Source organism: Homo sapiens, chromosome 14 (genome assembly GCF_000001405.40).
Source record: "Homo sapiens chromosome 14, GRCh38.p14 Primary Assembly".
Classification (NCBI taxonomy): domain Eukaryota; kingdom Metazoa; phylum Chordata; class Mammalia; order Primates; family Hominidae; genus Homo; species Homo sapiens.
In genome coordinates, this window is record NC_000014.9 from 64,766,212 (window position 1) to 64,785,972 (window position 19,761).

The window sequence follows — 19,761 nt, forward strand, 5'->3', positions numbered from 1 at the left end:
GAGGTGTCTGTATATATGGGGGTGTGTGGTGTGTGTGCATGTGGGTGTGTATTTGTGTGTGCATGCATGTGTGTGTGGGCATGTGCCTGTGTGTAGGTGTGGGTGCAGGGGGTGAGTACTGCCTAGAGGAAGGAGTTGGAAAATGGGGAAAAGGACGGTGTACAGAAATGCACTAATCATCTCTGGCTAGTGTTTCCCCTCATGTAAATGGTGATATATTTATACAATAAAATTTATTACATTAGGTAAAACAAAACTAATAACGTCATGTCACTGGGCTGGCCTGTTTCCTCTGCGCTGTGGGGAGGAGTGGAGGAGGCTAGTACTCTCATGAAGAACACCTCAGTGAGGACGTAGCCTGCTCTGCTGGGAGGTGGCTGCAGGGATGTGGGGAGGATGGAGGGCGGGGCTGCGCCAGCTCATCTCGCCTCCACCTGGGCTGAGCCTAGTAGGGGTGAGAGGGCTCTGGCTGCAGTGACTCCCAGGAACTAGACAAACGAGACCAGAGACTGACCGGGGACGTTCTCTCGGTGGCCGCATGGTGGGAAACTGGAGCCTCCCCTGCTGTCTCGCCTTCCTCCTCTTGAGGCCTAAGGAAGACACAGTCTCTCTTTAGAAACAAGCACCCCTCTGAGGCCAGTGCCTCCTGCGAGGCCTGGCTTTTCACCTGCGCCCACAGGGAGGAGCACCAAATAGCTCCCCCTCCAGTCAGCCGGCAGCCTGGATGGTGCTTGGCAAGGAGCCGCCCAGCGACTTCTTCGGAAAAGCCAAGGCAGATTCTTCAGAAGGGAGCCAGGTTCCAGGCAGAACGGCCTGTGGGGCCCCGTGTTCAGGTGGCTCCGAGGTGGGGCCTCGCCTGGCAGCCACTGCTCCCAGCCCCCTCCTCCCGCACCAGGCCTTCAGCCCGCCTGTGACTGGGGAAGCAAAAGGTCCTCTGCGCTCATGCTCAGGCACTCTGGGCCTTCCTGACGAGGGTGCCCAGTGTGAGAAGTCAAATGCAACTGGTCCCAATGTCAGGTTTCTGATGAAAGGCACCCCCTACTCCCACTTGGCAGAGCATTCAGCTCCCTGGACACACGGCCACCACTCACCCAGTCTCCTCTGCGGGTCTCTCTGCAATCTGGCGTTCTTTCAGCTCAAGCTAGAGGAGGAGAAGGCCCAGGGGTCAGAGCAGCCACAGAGGCGAGTTGTGTTCTCAGACGATCTCCCTCTGGATGCGGCCCTGCACCCCCACATGCCCTGACACTTGTTCCTTCTAGAGTCAGCCCCTTCTGTCCTTTGCATTCGGAGGTCAGTACTTCCTGCCACTTGTCTTTCCTTCCCATTGTCGCTGCTGGCCAAGCCTGTCACACCATTCTAAGTACCTAACAACTGGCCTGGAGTCCTTACATGAGACCCCTGGGGGCACAGTTGCCACCCTCCTGAGCCTCCCAGCACTGTTCCCTGCTCACCGTGGTGGGCTTCTCCAGGGCAGCAAAGCGCTCTGCCCAGCTGGCCGTGGACTTCTCAAAAGCCTCATGCCTCTTGATGAGCTTCTCCACACTGTCCACTGTGTGTCCAAAGTCCCCGCTGGCCAGGTAGGGCTCCTGGGCAATCAGCCACGCCTCAGCCACAGAGGCATCCCTCGAGAACTGGCACACCTCCAGCACTGCCAGGGGGAACAGGACACAGACCCCCCACAAGGCCCAGGGCCTGTTAGCACCCAATCGTTCACTCCTGATTGGGGCCAGTGGTCAGGCAGGTGGCCTGAATAGGTGTCCCTAAACCACATGGATACGCTTGCTGCCTGCAGCCACCCCATTCCACACTGGGCCCCTAACCGATCTTCACAATAGTTATATTTTTTTAGAGGGAGGGCTTCAATCTGTCACCCAGGCTGGAGTGCAGTGATGTGATTATGGCTCATGGCAGCCTCAGCCTCCTGGGTTCAAGTGATCCTCCCATCTCAGCCTACCAAGTGGCTGGGACTATAGGTGTGCACCACCATGCCCAGCTAATTTTTTCTGTCGTTGTAGATAGGATCTCCCTATGTTGCCCAGGCTGGTCTCAAACTCTTGAGCTCAAGCAATCCTCCTGCCTTGGCCTCCCAAAGTGCTGGGATTATAGATGTTACCCACCATGCCTGGCCCAATAGTTATATTTTTTAAGCTATATTTTTCACTAATTAGAACTCTATTTTGAAAACAAAATGTATTTTAGATGTCTCTGAAAAGGAGTCTTCTGTGTTGAACATTCTTCCCAGCCCTTGGCTGTCTCACATGATGCTGGATGAGTGGCCAGGGGCACCAGTTGGCCCTTCTTGGCTCACAGCTCCTCCCTGAATGGTGGCTTTTCCCCACCTCTCATCAGCACCCAGCTGAAGGACGAAGAGCCGGTTCTGTGCTTGACATTCCTCATGAGGAATGTCTGGGATTCCTCAGAGCCTTACCCCAACCCCTCTCCCAGACCCCCAACTCCTCCCCCGGACCCTCAACCCCTCCCCCAGGCCCCCAGCCCCTCCCCCGGGCCCCCAACTCCTCCCCCAGGCCATAGCTCTGCAGGCATACCAGCCCGGGCATGAGGCTGGGGACAAGTGCGGCAGAGGATGGGCAGGGAGTGGGGGCACGCTGGCTAGTTAGAGTGAGGCTTCCAGCAGCGTGTCTACTCTGGCCTTCTGCCTGGACCGCTGAGGCCCCTGGCCCCAGAGCTTTGCTGAAGAGCAGTGCTGTGGGGGGCTCCTCTCTAGGCAGTAGTGAAAATCCACCCATTGTGGCACCTCCCCATTCCCCTACTCCTGCGGGGGTACTCCTGCCCCTGGGCCCTGGCTCCAGGGCTGTACTCACACATGCGGAGCCGCTCCCAGCGGGCTTCCCACTTCTCATTCATCTCTTTCCTCCTGGACATCACCTGCTGCAGTTTCTCGCGGATCTATGGGGAGGAAAGGGAGAAAAGCTCAGGCTTGGCTCACCCTTCACCATCTGAGGCAGTGCGCAGATGGGTCCTGCAAAGAATGCCAGGTTTGGTCCTACAGCCCTGGCTTCAAGTCTTGGCCCAGCTGCTTGCCAGCTGTGTGGCCTGGGGCAAGTTATTTAACCTCTCTGAGGCCCATGCGCCTCTCCTATTAAAGGAGGTCACCAGCTCCAAAGTGTGTGCACCTGTGGGTGTTAGGCCGGTTATGAGGCTGCTCTCCGTTACTGAGTGGCCAGCTCCTTAAGGCAGGGAGTGCGCTTGCTGGGGCTCCAATCCCCGGGCCTGTGTGTAGCCCCGATCTCCATGAGTGAGAGCAAGACAAGCTCCTCAGAAAAGCTGCAGCTCTCATCTCCCTCCCAGGAGGCTGCCTGGCTGGCACAGTGGGGACGGAGACGGAGGAGCTCGCCTCCATCCTTGCAGTCCCCTCACCTCCTCTGAGGCCTGGTGCTGCCGCTGCAGCAGGGACTCGCCAAGCTCCAGGCAGGCACTGAAGTTCTTGCTCCGGGTTTCAATCTCTGCATTGATGCCCTGGTGATACTTCATGAGCAGTTCCACAGAGGAGACATCCCTGGGGGACAGGAGGACAAGGGAAGAAGGGAACTCTGGGTCACTCTGGCCTGCCTCTGTGTCCCAACCAGAGGGGCCCACCTCCCCCTGCCTGTGGGAGTGTGACCGTGCTCCCTCCTCTCTCTCTGGCCAGCCAGGGGGTCCTCCGCCAGCCCAGCCCCAGCAGGAACACAGATGCCCTGGTATCTTCCATTGCTCAGTGGCCAGAGCATGGGCAGTGGGTACAGAAATCCCCAAAGAAGCCTGGGATTATTAGTGGGCAATAAAAAGGAATGGAGTACTGATTGATGCTACAACAGGGATGCATCTTGAAAACATTATACTAAGGGAAAGAAGCCAGTCACAAAAGACCACATATTGTATGATTCCATTTATATGAAATGTCCAGAACAGGCAAATCTAGAGAGACAGAAAGTTGAGTAGTGGTTTCCAGGGACTAGGAAGAGAGGGGAATGGGGAGTGACTGCTAATAGGGGCGGAGTGATGAAAATCTTCTAACCTTAGATTGTGGGGATAGTTGTGTAACAGCGAATATATTAAAAACCACTGAATGATACACACTAAATGGATGAAGTGTGGTATGTGAATTATATCTCCATAAGGATGTTAAAAGTAAGACCATCAGGACAGACACCTTAGGGGCAATAGGATGGAGATGGATCAGCAATAACTGATGAAGTGACACAGACTGGGCAGAGTGGTCTGATCTCTGCAGGGGCTCTCACTGCCCACATGCCTGACTCCTCCTCTCATGGACGATGAGCTTCTTCCTGAGTTTTGGGGGAAGGGCCCCCTCACATCCCAGGGCTGGGAGAAGAATGCGCAGTCTTAGACCTGCCCAGCTTTGGATATGTGAGTTGCTTATTTTCACTGACAACCATGGTCACTGTTCCCATTAGAGAACCTGAATGACAGATGTCTCTCTCTCTACACTCAGGACTCTCCTGACTCTGGAGCGATTGGTCCTCCCAGTGGAAGCTGACCCAGGCCATTTCTGCCTCGATCCAGCCTCAGGCCTCAAGTGTCCCCCAGGGATTTTCATGGAACGATAGTCCAGGACTGTCCCTTCACGGAGGAGCCACAGTGCAGCACCCTGGTTGGCCGGGCTCCTCTGGCCTGGAGAGGAGCTGCCTCTGCCTCAAGGACACTCCCCTCACCTGGGCCTCTCCTGGGTCTCGATCTGCCGGATGATGCTCTCCATCCAGGAGAGGAGGTCACGGGCCATGCTGAAGAAGCGGAATTTATCCGCCGTGTCCACTAGCTGGGTCCGGCGCCCGGCACAGGCATCGAGCAGCGCCTGCCACGCGGCAGACACCTCCTGCTCCTTGTTCTGGATGGCCTCTGCCTTCTCCCCAGCATATGCTGTCTGCAGACGGGTGGCCACGTCCTGGAACTGCTGCACCTGTGGTCAGGCAAAATCAGACATTGTTCCCTGGACATTGCTCCCTAGGTGCTGTGGGCCTAGGACTGGAAGGGCAGCTACCTCCTCCTGGCCTCCCTGCCCAGGGCACTGCTGGAAGGTAGGATCTTCAGCCTCCACCCAGTGGGTGCTGTAGGAGAAGACTCCTTGCTTTAACACCTCTGCCTACCCAAGATACCTCTTGAACTTTGTGAAGGTTTGGGAGTGAGAGGAAATCCTGCCCTTTGATCTCCTCAACAATACACTAATGAGAGGAACTACATATCAGGCACTGTTCTAAACACTTTCTACTGATGAACTCTCTTCGTCTTTCCAACAAACCCAGGAAGGAGGTACTATTACTATTGCTGTTTCTGAGATGGGGAAAACGAGGCACAAGGAAGCTAAGTAACTGGTCCAGGGTCCTTCACACTAGTAAAGGGGTACAGCTGGGATTTGCACCGTGCTCCTGAGTCCCCGTTCTTAACCATTCTGTGTGCTGCCTCTCCAAGGAAGTGGTTGCACCAGATCCCCTGATTGAGGCTGGCCCTGGGGACAGTGAAACCTCACTCCTAAGACCTCAGTGGGGCTACACCTATCTCAGGGGCCCTGGCATCCCCAAATGCAACAGCCACACACCAGGCCCTCCACTCCAGCTGGAGGACACTTCCCTAAGAGGTCCCCTTTTGGATGAACCAGGGGCCCAGCCAACCCTGGTGTTCTGTCCCCAAGCCCTGCAGGGCTGGCCTGGGATTGCGCAGCCAGCCTACCTCTCCCTGCTGCACTGGAAGCTGGGGGAGCCCTCAGCAACAGGGGCCCCCTTGCATTTGCCCTTTCTATCACACCAAGCTCTGGGGCACCCTACGGATCTGCGGAGGGCACTCCAGTGATGGGGCAGGGGTCTGAACAGTAGAACTTGGGGGCTCTCCAGCTCCCATGTGGAAAGGCTGAAGTGCCCGGTGGCTAAGTATGTGGGGTCTATAGCTAGACTGCCAGGGTCTGAGCCCTGGCTCCACTTCGTACCTACATGTTCCTGGGAAACTTATGGGTCTTCTACCTCTCCCTTTTCTCATCTACAAAGTGCAGGGAATATTAGTAGCTGCCTCAGAGGACTGCCATGAGGGTCCAGCGGCTACATACATTGCTCAGAAGAGCACCTGGTGCTAGAAAAGTGCTGTGCGTGTGTCCACTAATAGTACTGCACAACTGGAGAAACTGCAACCGTATAGTATTGTATGCATTGGCCTTTTGTGAGGATTCAGTTTAAAGAATGACTTCTGAAGCTAAGGAACATCTGAAAGCCACTGCTCCCAGCCCTGAGCTCCTGGCTGTCTAAGGAGGCAAAACCTCCTGGCACTTATCCTAGAGGTTTTCCTGCTGACAGCCAGGTGGGGACTGACACCCAGGGCTCCTGGAAATTGGTAGCAGGTGGGCGGCAGGGGGCTGAAGGTACCTGGACACCCAGCAGGTGGAGCTCCCGCTCGAAGGCTGTGTGCACCCGGTGGAAGGACTCGGCCGTGCTGGCGTCCAGCCCCACGTCCTCGGGCAGCTCGCGGTGCTTCTCGTCGATGAGGCCCAGGATCTCGGCACCCGTGTAGAAGTAGCGGTGCAGGTCATAGGAGGCGGCCAGCAGCTGCATGCGCGTGTCAATGAGCTCCAGGAGGTCTGCCCACATCTCGTTCAGCCCGTCCTTCCACTCGGCGATGGTGGCCGCCTCGCTGTGGCCCGCGTCGATGAGTCGCTCGATGAAGGCATTCACATTGTCCACCCGCTCCTGCCCAATCGCCCCGGTCTCCCGGGCAAAGTCCCGGAACTTGTCCCGCAGAAGCTAGGCATGGGGCAGACAGAAATGTGGTTATGGGGGGCACAGGGGTTACAGGTGTCACCAGCTTAGCCAAAGACTTTCCCAGGCAGCAACTGCAGCTCCGGGAGCTGCGCTGTCACACCTTCCCCAGGGCAGGCCTGCATCGGCTGGTCCCGCCTCACACTGGGGAGGTTACGTCCTATGCAGCACTCTGTGTGTCTTGAGTGACGGCTGGCTGCGTCTACCGCATTAGAGAAAGACAAAAACAGCAGGAGTTGTGGCTACTCACAGTCACGTGGTCAAAGTCTTGCCCCATTTCCGGGGAAGAGGCCACTAGCTCCTTTTCTGAAATCCACTGCTCCAGGTCGTCGGTCTCCCGCTTGAGCTGGAACAGGTGGTACATGTTCTCCAGCTTGCGCTTGCGCTCTTCCGCCACGTCCTTCAGCCCTGCGTAGTGCTTGTCCACTTGCCCCTGAAGTCTGATGATCTGTTCCCTGGAATTCAAAACCAAAAAGGCCCTCAGAGACGGCAGCCACGAACCCAGAGCCGTGGCTCCAGGGAGCCAACATATGCCAACCACAGCCCCCTGGCAGGGATAGGTAGGGAGTGAAGCTCTGGAGAAATGACAGGGGCTTTGCCGGGGAAGAGCTGGGGAGAGAAGGGGCCACACCCTAGCCTCAGGGGATGACACACTGTGTCCTGGAATTCTGTCCTGGAGGGGTGCTTCCCATGGTGCCCCTCACTCTGGCAAGCTTACAGGGACAAGTGCAAATGGGGAACGCCTCCATTGTTCTTCCAGAGAGGCTGGGGGAGCAGCACTACCTGAGTGGGGCTCCCGCAGCAACAGCTCTGCTCAGCCCTCCAGGGAGGGAAAAGACATACTAGGGGCCCAGACAATGTGGCTCCCAGGGAAACCTCTGGGGTGGCTGCTGAGGACCCACAGTGGTGGGCACCCTAATGGCAGCTGAGGACAGGGCCATGGCTGGGGGCAGTGTGTGGTCTGTGGCCCAGTGGGCTTCCATTTATGCAGGATCCACAAAACCTCGCAGCCCATGTGGGCACAGGTTTCCACCTGCACTCCTACATCATGGTTCTGTCTGGACTGTGAAGTCCTGGAGACCTTCTGGACCATAAAAATAAAAGCTAAAGTAGTCTTCAGTGTCCCTTAGCATATTGTAACCCTTCGGAAAATTGGTGCTCTCAGGTCACCAAGAGGGTAGTTTTGCTAACCCCTTCTCTGATCATTTCGAAAACCAGGGCCTCGATGGCCCAGCTGGAAGTGATTCACACAAAACCAAGGCATAAAATGAAATTGGATCCATCACCAGTCCCGCAGCAATTTTCTCCAGCCCTATTTGATGGGAAAACTCTTTCCATTTTCCTTTTAAATCTGAAGGGACGTTGGCTGGTGGGCCCCTGGCTCAATCCCCATCTCCTGACCGAGTCACCACAGGGGGCGCACGCACCCCTCAGGGTGGCCTGCAGACAGCAGGCCCTGGGCCCGGCTGGCCAGCTGCTTGATGTTCCGGCCGTAGTCCTCCACCGCACGCTGCTGCCGCAAATGTCGCTTCAGCATCACAATGGCGCCCTCTTCATCCTAGGAGGCAGCAGACGGTCAGCGCCAGAGCTCAGTCTGGCCATGATCCCTCCCTTGGCAAGTTGTGCCCCCACTCCTGGAGGTGCCCGAGGGAGGAGGGGAGTAGGCTTGTGGGACACCCGCAGGAGAGCCACACATGCTTCCTTCCTGCCCTTCTGATTTCCCAGCAATGCCCGTGCCCTACCTTCCTCTCTGGACTCCCCTGATTCGTATCCGACATATACCCTTCCTTTTGTGCTCTAACCCCTGTCCCCATGAAAACATCCTATATCATTCCAGCTTTGAGAGACCCCCACCTGTCACCTCTCACCCCATCTCTTTCATAGCGTACAGAATCCAGGGTAAAGAAAAGTAGAGAACCCTTGGGTTAGAGCAAACCTAAGTGGGTAAACAGGAGGCACCTGGCTTCAGTGTGTGCCCTGCAGGGGTGTGTTCAAGGAGGCACCAAGGGAGGGCAGGGAGTCTGTGGGTTCCTTGTGCCCCTCCCCTGGCCTCACTCCTCACACAGTTGGACTCACAAGGCTCCCTACCGACAGCCAACCTCAACTCTTCCTCTCTGCCTGGGCACCCTGGCTGGTATCCCCTGCCCGAACAGACCTTGGGGATCTCATCGGAGATGACGTAGAGCTCCTGCTCGCCAATCCAGGCCTCAGCCTCGTCTGCATCCAGGTAGTACTGCTGTGCCTCGTTGGCGTCCCTCAGTCGCTGCAGCCTCCCGGCCGCTGCCTCCCGCAGCCTGTCCCAGGAGCTCTGCAGGTGCCCCAGGCGCTCCTCAAGGTCCTGGCAGTCGATCTCCGCCGCCTCCACCAGCTGCTGCCCTCTCTGCAGCACATCCTCAACCCGCGGCGTATGGCCCAGAATCTCATTCTGCAGTGTCTGCGGCCAGAAGGAAGGGCTCGGGGCAGGGCCTTCCCACCATGCGGGGGAGGCTGCTTCAGCAGTGGCAGCACAGCTCTGACACCCTTGGTCCCTCTCACCCCCGTTGCTAGAGCAGAGCAGGTGATGGCGATAAGAACTACCAATGACCTCTTGCGGGCTGCTAAGCACCTCATGTGCACCATTCTTGCACCCTCAGGTGGCCTGCTGAGATAAGCATGTGGAGACCAGCATGCAGCAGTGAAGTCACTCAGTGGCAGAGCCGGAGTTGAACACAGCTCCACCTGACCTGGCAGCCTGTGCTCTTGACTGTCCCCTATCTTCCTGTGCTTCAGCAGAGCTTGATTCCTTAGGTGTATGTGTTGGAAGGAAAAGAAAAATGGCCTTTTTGATACCTTATTCTAACAGCTTTTGCAGGATTTATGCAGGATCATTTACGCAGGATACGCCCAACCCAGCAGCTCAGGTGGGCACAGTTTTTGCCTTCCATCTAAAAGAACAGGTGACAGCAGCCCCTTGCTTACAGTCTCAGCTTTTGTTTTTCCCTACTTCTATTTCTCATATTTTTGTGAGCTTTGCATTAGTCCCTGTTTGAGCCTTTGGTCATGAACACAGCCTCTTCCTCCCACCCTGGTGGCTGGTCACCTTTTTCTTCAGGAGGCCCTGACACGTGTTACTTGTTTTCTGGGTCCTAAAGACTGGGCTAGCTGCTGCTGGTGTGTGGGCTCCTGAGCTCCATATACCTCACTACCTGTTTCTTCCCTCTCTATATAATTTTCCTGTGGCCTTTAAAATTGGAAGGCAGGGGCAAGAGCAGCCCACATGAGCAGCACAGTGATGGCCAGCATTTAAAATATGCACAAAATAACCACATCTACAAGTCACATAACCTGCTGAAATGCATTTTTACACTTTATGCTCAGAACCTCAATTTTTACAATTTCCTATAGTCTCTGCAGTTGCATTCAAACAACCCATGTTTTCAGCTCCATTTGCTTGTTTACTCTGAGATCTTATGACCTCTGCATGGTGCCCTAAAAATTAATTTCTTTTTTTTAAGATAGGGTCTCACTCTAGTCACCCAGGCTGGAGTGCAGTGGCACAATCAGCTCACTGAGCCTCAACTTCCCAGGCTCAGATGATTCTCCCACCTCAGCCTCCCAAGTAGCTTGGACTACAGGTATGTACCACCACATCTGGCTAATTTTTTGTATTTTTTGTAGAGATGGGCTTTTGCCATGTTGCCCAGGCTGGTCTCAAACTCCTGGGCTCAGGCGATCCACCCGCTTCGGCCTCCCAAAGTGCTGGGATTACGGGTGTGAACCACTGCGCCCGGCCTAAAAGGGTATTTCTTCCTTTTTAACCAATTACTTTCTAGTATCTGTGCAGGGTACTTACATTTAAAGTCTTCTTCCCTGTCTTCATTCATTCAACAACTATGTATTAAGTTCTTTTCTATGTACCAGACCCTGGTCTAGGTAATAGGGACAATATAGAAACAAGAGAAATGAAAATCCCTGCACTTTAAAGCTTACAACCTGGTAGAGGAAATAGAAGGTAAACATGCAAATAAATGAATAAACAAAGGCTGGGCCTTCCTCCCTGGGGGCTACGAGGAAAAGACAACAGTGGGATGGAGAATGTCTGCTGCGATGTGGCAGGAGCCACTTTAGCTAAGGGAGTCAGGGAGGGCCTCTCTGAGGATACGAAACTTGACCATGACATGAATGACGGGAGGGAGGCAACCACACAGAGATCTGGGGTTGAGTGTTCCTGGCAAGAGGACTGAACAAGTGCAAAGGCTCTGGGGTGGACATGAGCTGGGACCGTCTGAGGCCACAGAGAGGGCCAGAAGAGCTGGAATACTGTGAAGGAGGGCAAAGTGAGAAGAGCTGAGTTTCAGAAGCAGGCAGGGGTCAGGTCAGGCAAGAGTGGTTCTTAATCCTGATTGCCCACTGAATAATCCAGGGAAACAGATGCAGCTAGGGGCCTACCCCCAGAGATCCTAATTGATCTGAGGTGAGACCTGGGCATTCATCTGTCTAAAAGTTCCCTAGGTGATGTGAGTGTACAGCCAGGGGTGAGAGCCCTTCATGTACTACCTTGTGGAATTTGTTCTAATTGCAATGAATAGCCCTGGGAACAGTGGTCCCCAAAGTGCAGTCCTGAACCAGCAGCATCGGCATCACCTAGGATCTTGTTGGAAATGCAAATTATTAGGCTCTACCCCCAGAGCTTGATGCAGTAGGGATCTGGGGGTGGCACCTGGTTAAGTCGTGTAAACTCACCCAGAAGGCTTGTTAAAGGAGTTGCATATTGGAGTTTGACAACCATTGCAACAGAGGGTTTTAGGTGAGGAAATGATAAAATTGGATTTATGGTTTAGCCAGGTGAGCCTAAAATAGTCTTCATTAGGGCAGTCACGCTGTCCCAAGAGGCTGCCTTTCCCTTCTTGGTTAGGGGAACCCCATCCGTATTTGTCTTGCCCTTTTCCCGAAATAGCAACTGCCAGCCAGGGGAGTTAAAAACCTTTGAACAATAACACTTACAGAGGCTGCATAGAATCAAAAATCCTAGTGTTGGAAAGACTAGAGTTGGCTCATTTTACAATTAAGGAAACTGAGGTCCCAAGGATACCATGTCCTACCAGCCTTCCACCTTTAGCTGAAGGTTGTGGCATTAACTGAGGCTAGATTTCTATCATCTTCTAGCCCAGGTCCCTGCGTGTGGCTGCTGGAGCCTCTGCGACTAGATCATGTCAACCAGAAGCAAAGGGCCTAAGGCAGCTTTGAAGAAACTTCTCTGAATATAATCTAGGCCTCTGCACTGCTGCTGGGCTCACATGGTCCTGTGAGCAGATGTCAGCTGCTGCCAAGCTGGGGGAAGGGAGTGCTGTCTGCCATGACCTTCCTTCCTCAAGGAGCTGCAATACTAACCGGGCACTCTGGGACATGTCACTTTTATCTGGGATCTAAGTTCCTGGGCTCTCCTTGCTGACCCAGAGAGCATGCAGAGGGAGGGTCTCTCTGTCCAAGAAGGGTCTGTGGCCATTCCCCTGGCCGCTGCGACCCCACACAGCCAGCTTCCTTACATGATTCAGGCTCCCACTGCAGCCCTGACCCAAGAGGGAGTGCTTGGCATCTGCTCACATCCAGGATCCTGACCAGGGCCACAGGAGTTCCCAATCAGGGCTAAGCGAGTGCCAAAAAGCAGAGGGATGTTTGCTCCAAGGGCTCAGAGTCCAAAGTTAGTGGCTTCCTAATGGAATTTGAGCCCCACAAGTATCCTCATATGTCGAGAGAAATGGGGCCTACTTACCCCAAGGACACCACACATGCCAAGCTCAGCCCTGGAAGAGGGGCAAGGCAGTGTTGTGGGAGAGAGATCAGGAGTTACTGCCCTCCTCTCAGGCAGACCACTGGATACACCGAATACACAGCTACTGAAGCACATCAACCTCCAGGCCAGGCCCCCGAGATCCTGCATTCACCTGTGCCTGATGGAGGCTGAATGGCCCTGAATCCCCAACTACCTCCCCTCCTCTGTGATCCTCCCAGAATTTGCTCTGTAATCACAAAAACCTGCTCTTTCTGCTATAAGATTACCAATACGGTTTGGAGACCCCAAAGCTACCAACAAGAACAATAATCTGCTGTTGCTAGCCTTCTGCAGGTCAGGGCTGGGCCTACCCCCGTGGGGCCAGGTGGGGGTGAGGAGGGGTGGGTGGGGCTGGTGAGGTGACGCAGGACTCACCTGGTTCTTCTTCATGAACAGTTGCACAGTTTGCAGATTAGTGCCATAGTCGGCTGACTGGGCCAGAGGCAGCCTCTCCTCCACCCAAAGCTGCAGAGACCAGGAGGCAGGAGAGAGCTGATGACAATCACGGCCAACCTTTCCTGAGTGCTCACCATGGGCGGCGCAGAGCTTTGCTGGCAGTGTCTCCCCAGTTCCTCCCAACACCCCATCAGGGTTTTGCCCCCATTTTATAGGTTAGAATATTTGGGGATTTTGAACTGAGGTTCCAAATAACTTGCTCCTAGTCAGACAGTGGGAAGGTAATGTAGCTGGATCTCGAACCCAAGTCTGTCTGACCCAAGTCCATGCTCTTCACCGAGCAATACTAGCAAGTGAACAGTGCATTCCCAACAAAAGCACTGGCTTGAGCTTTCCATTTAATGTAATCCTCACAAGAACCCTATGAGATAAGGGGTGAGGTGACCAGTCATCTACTGCCAAAAATTGCTCTGGGTGGCAGCCAGCTACTCTGATGGCAGCTGGTGGCTCAGCCTCAGGAGGTAGGGAGAAGCTGTGGCCCACGCACCGTCTCATCCTCTAAGTCCCGGCTGATCTGCAGCTTGGCTCTGGATGATTCCAGCTGCTTCTTCCTCCTTCCTAGGGGTTCCAGGAGGTCCAGGAACCGCTTCTCGATGCTCAAGTCTGCATCTCCTCCCTCCTCTCCCATTGAAGGCACCTGGGCAAACAGCTCCCCCAGCTCCTCTTTTCGCACATTCACTTGGTCCTCCACTCGCTGAGACACAAGGGGACGGTGTCAGCACCAGCCTTGGCACCTGCACAGCCCCTCCATCTTCTTCATTCATCTGCATCCCACCCATCCTTTAAGGCCCAATTTGAGCTCAACTTCCTCCAAGGAGTCTCCTTGGATGCTCCCAGTCATCTTTCCCTCTTCTGAGTGCCTGTTTTGTTTCTCATGCATCATTTTGGGTCTCTGTCCTACCCACTGCAAAAGGGGTTGGAGATGGATTAGAAACCAGGAGACATTTTTGCATGATAAAAGCAAGTCCAGTTAAGAGGAAGAGTAGGACTGCTTAAAGTTTCAGACTGTGCTCAAAGAAATCAGAGAAGACACAAACAAATGGAAAAACATCTCATGCTCATGTGATAGGAGGAATTAATATCATTAAAATGGCTATACTGCTCAAAGCAATTTACAGATTCAATGCTATTCCTATCAAACTACTAATGACATTCTTCAAAGAACTAGAAAAATTATTATTATTATTATTTTTGAGATGGAGTTTTGCTCTTGTTGCCCAGGCTGGAGTGCAATGGTGCAATCTTGGCTCACTGCAACCTCCGCCTGCTGGGTTCAAGTGATTCTCCTGCCTCAGCCTCCAGAGTAGCTGGGATCATAGGCGTGTGCCACCACACTCAGCTAGTTTTGTATTTTTAGTAGAGACAAGGTTTCTCCATGTTGGTCAGGCTGGTCTCGAACTCCTGACCTCAGGTGATCTGCCCACCTTGGCCTCCCAAAGTGCTGGGATTACAGGCATGAGCCACCATGCCTGGCCTAGAAAAATTATTTAAAAATTTACATGAAACCAAAAAAGAGCCTGAATGGCCAAGGCAATCCTAAGCAAAAAGAACAAAGCTGGAGGAATCACATTACCTGAATTCAGATTATACTACAAGGCTACAGTGACAAAAACAGCATGGTATTGGTACAAAAACCGGCATATCAACCAATGGAACAGAGTAGAGAGTCCAGAAATAAGGCCACACACCTACCACCATCTGATCTTTGACAAAGCTGACAAAAACAAACAATGAGGAAAAGACTCCTTATTCAATAAATGGTGCTGGGAGAACTGGCTAGCCATATGCAGAACATTGAAGCTGGGCCCTTTCATTAGACATATAAAAAAATAAACTCAAGATGGATTACAGACTTCAATGTAAAACCCAAAACTATAAAAGGCCTGGAAGACAACCTAGGCAATATCATCCTGGACATAGGAATGGGCAAAGATTTCATGACAAAGACACTAAAAGAAATTGAAACAAAAGCAAAAATTGGCAAATGAGATCTAATTAAACTTAAGAGCTTCTGCACAGCAAAAGAAACTATCAACAGAGTAAACAGACAGCCTGCAAAATGAGAAAATATTTGCAAACTATGAATCTGACAAGGGTCTAATATCCTGCATCTATAAGAAACTTAAATTTATAAGAGGAAAACAAACAATGCCATTAAAAAGTGGGCAAAGGACATGAACAGACACTTCGCAAAAGACACACATGCAGGCAACAATATATGAAAAAAAGCTTAATATCACTGATCATTAGAGAAATGCAAATCACAACCACAGTGAGATACCATCTCACATCAGTCAGAATGGCTATTATTAAAAAGTCAAAAAATAACAGACGCTGGCAAGGTTGCAGAGAAAAGGGAACCCTTATACACCGTTGGTGGGAGTGTAAATTAGTTCAACCATTGTTGAAAGTGGTATGGCAATTCCTCAAAGAGCTAAAAGCAGAACTACTATTTGACCCAGCAATCCCATTACTGGGTATACCCAGAGGAATATAAAACATTCTACCATAAATACACATGTACACTTATGTTCACTGCAGCACTGTTCACAATACCAAAGACATGGACTCAACCTAAATGCCCATCAATGACAGACTGGATAAAGAAAATATGATACATATACACCATGGAATATTTCACAGCCATAAAAAAAGAACGAGATCATGTCTTTTGTGGGAACATGGATGGAGCTGGAGGCCATTATCCTTAGCAAACTGATGCAGAAACAGAAAACCAAATACCACATGTTCTCACTTATAAGTGGGAGCTAAGTGAGAAGAACTTATGAACACAAGGAAACAACAGACACTGGGGTGTACTTGATGGGGGAGGGTAGGAGAAGGGAGAGGAGCAGAAAAGATAACTATTGGGTATTGAGCTTAAAACCTGGGTGATGTAATAATATGTGCAATAAACCCCCATGACATGTGTTTATCTATGTGACAAACCTTCACATGTACCCCCAAACCTAAAATTAAAAATAAAGGTGTCAGACTGGCTTCCACTATCCCTTCTATCCTAACACTCTGAGTCTACAACCCACTCACGTGCCTTCAGCTTAGCCAACATCCGATTGACACTGGTCAGGTCCTTGCCCGGGTCGTCTGACCGCAGCTGGTCCTCCATGGCGCTGATCCACTTGTTGAGGTCAGCATGGGTCTGCAAGCGCAGGTCGGAGCTCCTGGCAGCCGAGAGGTGCTGGGTCTTCTCCTTTGTGGTGGCCTGCAGCTCGTCCCAGAGCCGGTGCAGGGCTTCCAGCTTTTGGGACACCAGGGCTGTAAACTGGGGCTTCTCATCCATCAGCTGCTTTCCTTCCTAGGGGCAAGAAGGAGGAGAGCTCACATTCTGGGCTGACTGGGCCTTGGATCAGCCCTGCTCCTGATGGTTGCAAGAGGCTACCCAAGAGGAGGTCAGTAAGGCAAAGAATCTTCATAGAACATGGGTAAGACTCAACTGAAATGAACTCTGAATCCCCAGCATTAGCAGGGGTGTCCAAACTTTTGGCTTCCCTGGGACACTTTGGAAGAAGAATTGTCTTGAGACACACATAAAATACATTAACACAATAGTTGATGAGTTAAAAAAAAAAAAAAAAAGCCTGTGCATAATTTTCATGATATGCACCACCACAGATAAGGAAAAGGTCCTCATATTCAAAGGGTTAGACATGGCTGGTAGGGGAAGCTGGGCAGGGAGAGCAGTGCTGGGGGCAATGACTCAGGGAGACCGCAGCATGGGAGTTGCAGACAAGGGTCAGCTGCTGTGAGAAAAAGGATTCCAGACCCATCCAGGTACAGTCAGTGCAGAAACTGCCCCGTGAGTTCCTGAGGTTGTGCACTAACCTTCGCTGACCTCCTTCGGTTACTGAGGTTGCCTTACCTGGTTTTCATCTGCATAGATGTATCATTTTTGGGTGGGCACAGTGTGATATAAATTGGACTTAGGAATCTATATCACTAATAATAGTTAATTTTTTTTTTTTTGAGACAGCGTCTCTCTCTGTTGCCCAAGCTGGAATGTAGTGGCACAATCTTGGCTCACTGCAACCTCCGCCCCCCAGTTTAAGCCCTTTTGTGTCTCAGTCTCCTGAGTAGCTGGGATTACAGGCGTATGCCACCATGCCCAGATAATTTTTGTATTTTTAGTAGAGATGGGATTTCGCCATGTTGGCTAGGCTGGTCTCGAACTCCAGACCTCAGGTGATCCGCCCACCTCAGCCTCCCAAAGTGCTGGGATTACAGCTGTGAGCCACCGTGCCTGGCCTAATAGTTAATATTTATTGAGTGTCTCATAATTGCCAAGTACTATGCTAAATGTTTCATTTGTCTTTAAGCATTTAGTGCTCACAACTCCACTGGGAAGGTCCTATTATTACTCTCATTTCATAGAGGGAGAAACTGAGGCACAGGGAGGTTAAGAAGTCAGTCTGATCCTAGGGCTGCTTTTTCATGGACAGCCATGGTAGAGATGAGCAAAGGTAGTGATTTCCACATCTAATTCCAGCCACATTTGGACTTGTCCACTGGGCAAACTCACTACAGAGGGGTCCCTTGGTTCGCCATCTATAAGGAGTGGAAACGACCACTCCCCAGTGGTTCTGTCCATCCAAATGATGAGGATTAATGGCTCCCCTGGACCACTGTGATCATCTTGCCTATTCCTCCAGCCCTGTGCAGGACAGTGCTGGAGCCCTGGTGAAGGCAATGGAAAGCAAACATTAATAACTGCTGTCCTGGCACTGGACACTGAAGCTCTAACTAGATGTCCTCAGTGTCCTGGGCTGTCCCCAGATTCAGGTGACCCAGAAGAGGCACTGATTCTGACCAGGTGTACTAAGACTGACTACATCAGGAGCTCTGAAGGTTTAGCTACTATTTAGAAAAGTTGTTCGCTGCCACGTTCTGTACTGTCAGCAAGCTTTAGGACAGGGTCCACACCCTGGGTGAAGCCCATCCAGGCAAGCCTATCTGAGCAGAGCACCCACCCGCCGCCCAATCACTTTACTTACCGCATCGATGTTCTCTAGCCACCCTTCATGGGAAGCCAGCTCTGCCACAAACGCCTGGTGCTTTAGCCATTTATTGTGAAGGTTTCGTGCTTCATCATAGGAGACATCCTGAGATGTCAGCAGCTTGTCGTTGATCCAGAGAGTGAGCTGTGTGCATAAAGAGTGGGCTGACTATCCCTGAGTATATTTCTTTGGCAGAGCAGAACCTGCTGCCCATCCCTGGCTGCAGAAGGAGAAGGCCATGGGGAGGAAGTGCAAGCACAGAAGAGAACCCATCTGCAGTTCTGGATCCCTCTGTACCAGCACAGGCAACTTTACCCATGACAGGCCAGGGCTAAAATGTGGGCACAGGTGCATCTTCCCCACTGGAGTGTGTGTGGTGTAGACCAGGGATACTTTACGCTCCTCTCCATATTTTGAGGACCTAGGACAGGGCCTAGCATATTCTAGGAACCCAACGAGTGTTTACTGGATAGGTGGATAAATCCGTCCTTTGGCCGTAGGGTGAGAGATCCTTGATAAACACAGGAAAAAATGTTATTTGAGGAAGAAGCCAAGGACAGAGGTCAATGAAAACAAAGTTGTCTGGGCTGAGAGAAAAGGAGTATGACAAGAAAGAAGTCAGGGAAAACCCCATTCCATGTAGAAAGTACTGTCAATGGAGGGACCTGGGAAGGCGGATTAAAGACCTTCCTTGTACAGCTGGTCCCAGGTTGAGCAAGGACCTTCTGAGCTAGCAGTTTTCCAACTGGCAGGTTTGTTTAAAATGTTCTTTCTCTGTCTCACCCCGTAAAGTTCTGATTCATCTGGCCTGAGTGGGACCCAGGGGTCTGCTTTAACTAGGACCAGGACTGGCTCCATAATTTGCAGGGCCCAGTACAAAATGGAGTTGTTCAAAAGCATGAAGAATTTCAAGATGGCAAGAGTAGAGCATTAACCTGAGCCCAGGGCCCTTCTAAGCAAAGCACAGGGTGTGACACAGGTCACACATCCTCAAAGCTGGCCCAGACTGGGTCCTAGGTGATTCTAAAATAGACTGTCCCTAGACTACTCTTAAGAAACTCTGGCCTAGACTTGACAGGTTAAGGATGACTTTTCAGATTTGAAAAAAAAAAAACAGTGCAACTGAAGATTCCAGAGAATGACCCAATTAAGTACCCAGAGGTCCCCGCTCATGGAATCCCACAGCTCTTGAGCTAGAAAGGATCCCTGTGGACTTCCTGCCTTGAGGGAACTCTGCTTCTAGAAAGGAATCTCCAGGAAAGCAGCCACTCCTTGCTGGAGCCTCACCTCCTGGCAGTTCTGGAGGAAGTTCTGTAGCTCCAGGTTGTCTCTCAGTAGGACAGAGGCCTCCTGGGCCTTCTCGTTGTTCTTCCTGTGCCTGGAAAGGAAGCCAAAAGCACAGTCACAATAGTGCCGAGCTTGGGGTCCTCACCAAGCTTGGGGTCCTCACTACCCCCGTGTGGCTCTGGGGGCCTCGTGGCCCTGGGGCCCGGGAGTACCTGTCCTCAATCAGCTGCACCTTCTCCTTGATCTTGTCTGAGTATAGGTTTCCCTCAGCTACCAGCTTGTTTCCAGAGTCCACAGGACTCAAGACCTTATCCCGGTTGTTCTCCATAGACCCCAAGAAATCCTCAAACTTCCGGATCCCAGCCTCTGCAGCTTCCAGGGAGTCTGGGGGCTCCAAGTGAGCCAGAGTGTATTCCTGTTGGAACAAGTTTCCAGA

At 52.2% G+C, this 19,761-nt stretch overlaps 1 protein-coding gene and 1 non-coding gene across 9 annotated transcripts in view, besides 3 other annotated features; both read right to left on the reverse strand.

Annotated features, from left to right (window-relative positions):
- Positions 1-19,761, reverse strand: part of SPTB (spectrin beta, erythrocytic) — a 133,625-nt gene that overhangs the window by 19,929 nt on the left and 93,935 nt on the right. For 6 of the 8 annotated variants that reach the window (NM_001355436.2, XM_017021612.3, XM_047431724.1 and 3 more), the window contains 16 exons: positions 19,538-19,740; positions 19,326-19,416; positions 18,036-18,182; positions 16,079-16,342; positions 13,514-13,720; positions 12,946-13,035; positions 8,914-9,192; positions 8,186-8,316; positions 7,009-7,213; positions 6,369-6,743; positions 4,674-4,918; positions 3,379-3,517; positions 2,823-2,907; positions 1,452-1,648; positions 1,092-1,141; positions 515-590 (listed from right to left, as the gene is read on the reverse strand). In NM_001355436.2, the coding sequence (NP_001342365.1) occupies positions 515-590; positions 1,092-1,141; positions 1,452-1,648; positions 2,823-2,907; positions 3,379-3,517; positions 4,674-4,918; positions 6,369-6,743; positions 7,009-7,213; positions 8,186-8,316; positions 8,914-9,192; positions 12,946-13,035; positions 13,514-13,720; positions 16,079-16,342; positions 18,036-18,182; positions 19,326-19,416; positions 19,538-19,740 (2,784 nt within the window). The other 2 variants (NM_001355437.2, XM_011537105.4) reach the window with 2 other exon arrangements.
- Positions 156-1,074: an enhancer, noted in NCBI's record as "H3K27ac-H3K4me1 hESC enhancer chr14:65233085-65234003 (GRCh37/hg19 assembly coordinates)". NCBI's record gives its function as "activates a minimal SCP1, AML or CMV promoter by ChIP-STARR-seq in primed H9 embryonic stem cells {active_cell/tissue: H9 hESC(primed)}" and the evidence as "EXISTENCE:reporter gene assay evidence [ECO:0000049][PMID:30033119]".
- Positions 8,616-9,117: an enhancer, noted in NCBI's record as "H3K4me1 hESC enhancer chr14:65241545-65242046 (GRCh37/hg19 assembly coordinates)". NCBI's record gives its function as "activates a minimal SCP1, AML or CMV promoter by ChIP-STARR-seq in naive H9 embryonic stem cells {active_cell/tissue: H9 hESC(naive)}" and the evidence as "EXISTENCE:reporter gene assay evidence [ECO:0000049][PMID:30033119]".
- Positions 9,118-9,617: an enhancer, noted in NCBI's record as "H3K4me1 hESC enhancer chr14:65242047-65242546 (GRCh37/hg19 assembly coordinates)". NCBI's record gives its function as "activates a minimal SCP1, AML or CMV promoter by ChIP-STARR-seq in naive H9 embryonic stem cells {active_cell/tissue: H9 hESC(naive)}" and the evidence as "EXISTENCE:reporter gene assay evidence [ECO:0000049][PMID:30033119]".
- Positions 19,415-19,475, reverse strand: MIR7855 (microRNA 7855). The gene has a single exon (NR_107009.1). It is a non-coding gene; the product is annotated as a microRNA 7855 (primary transcript).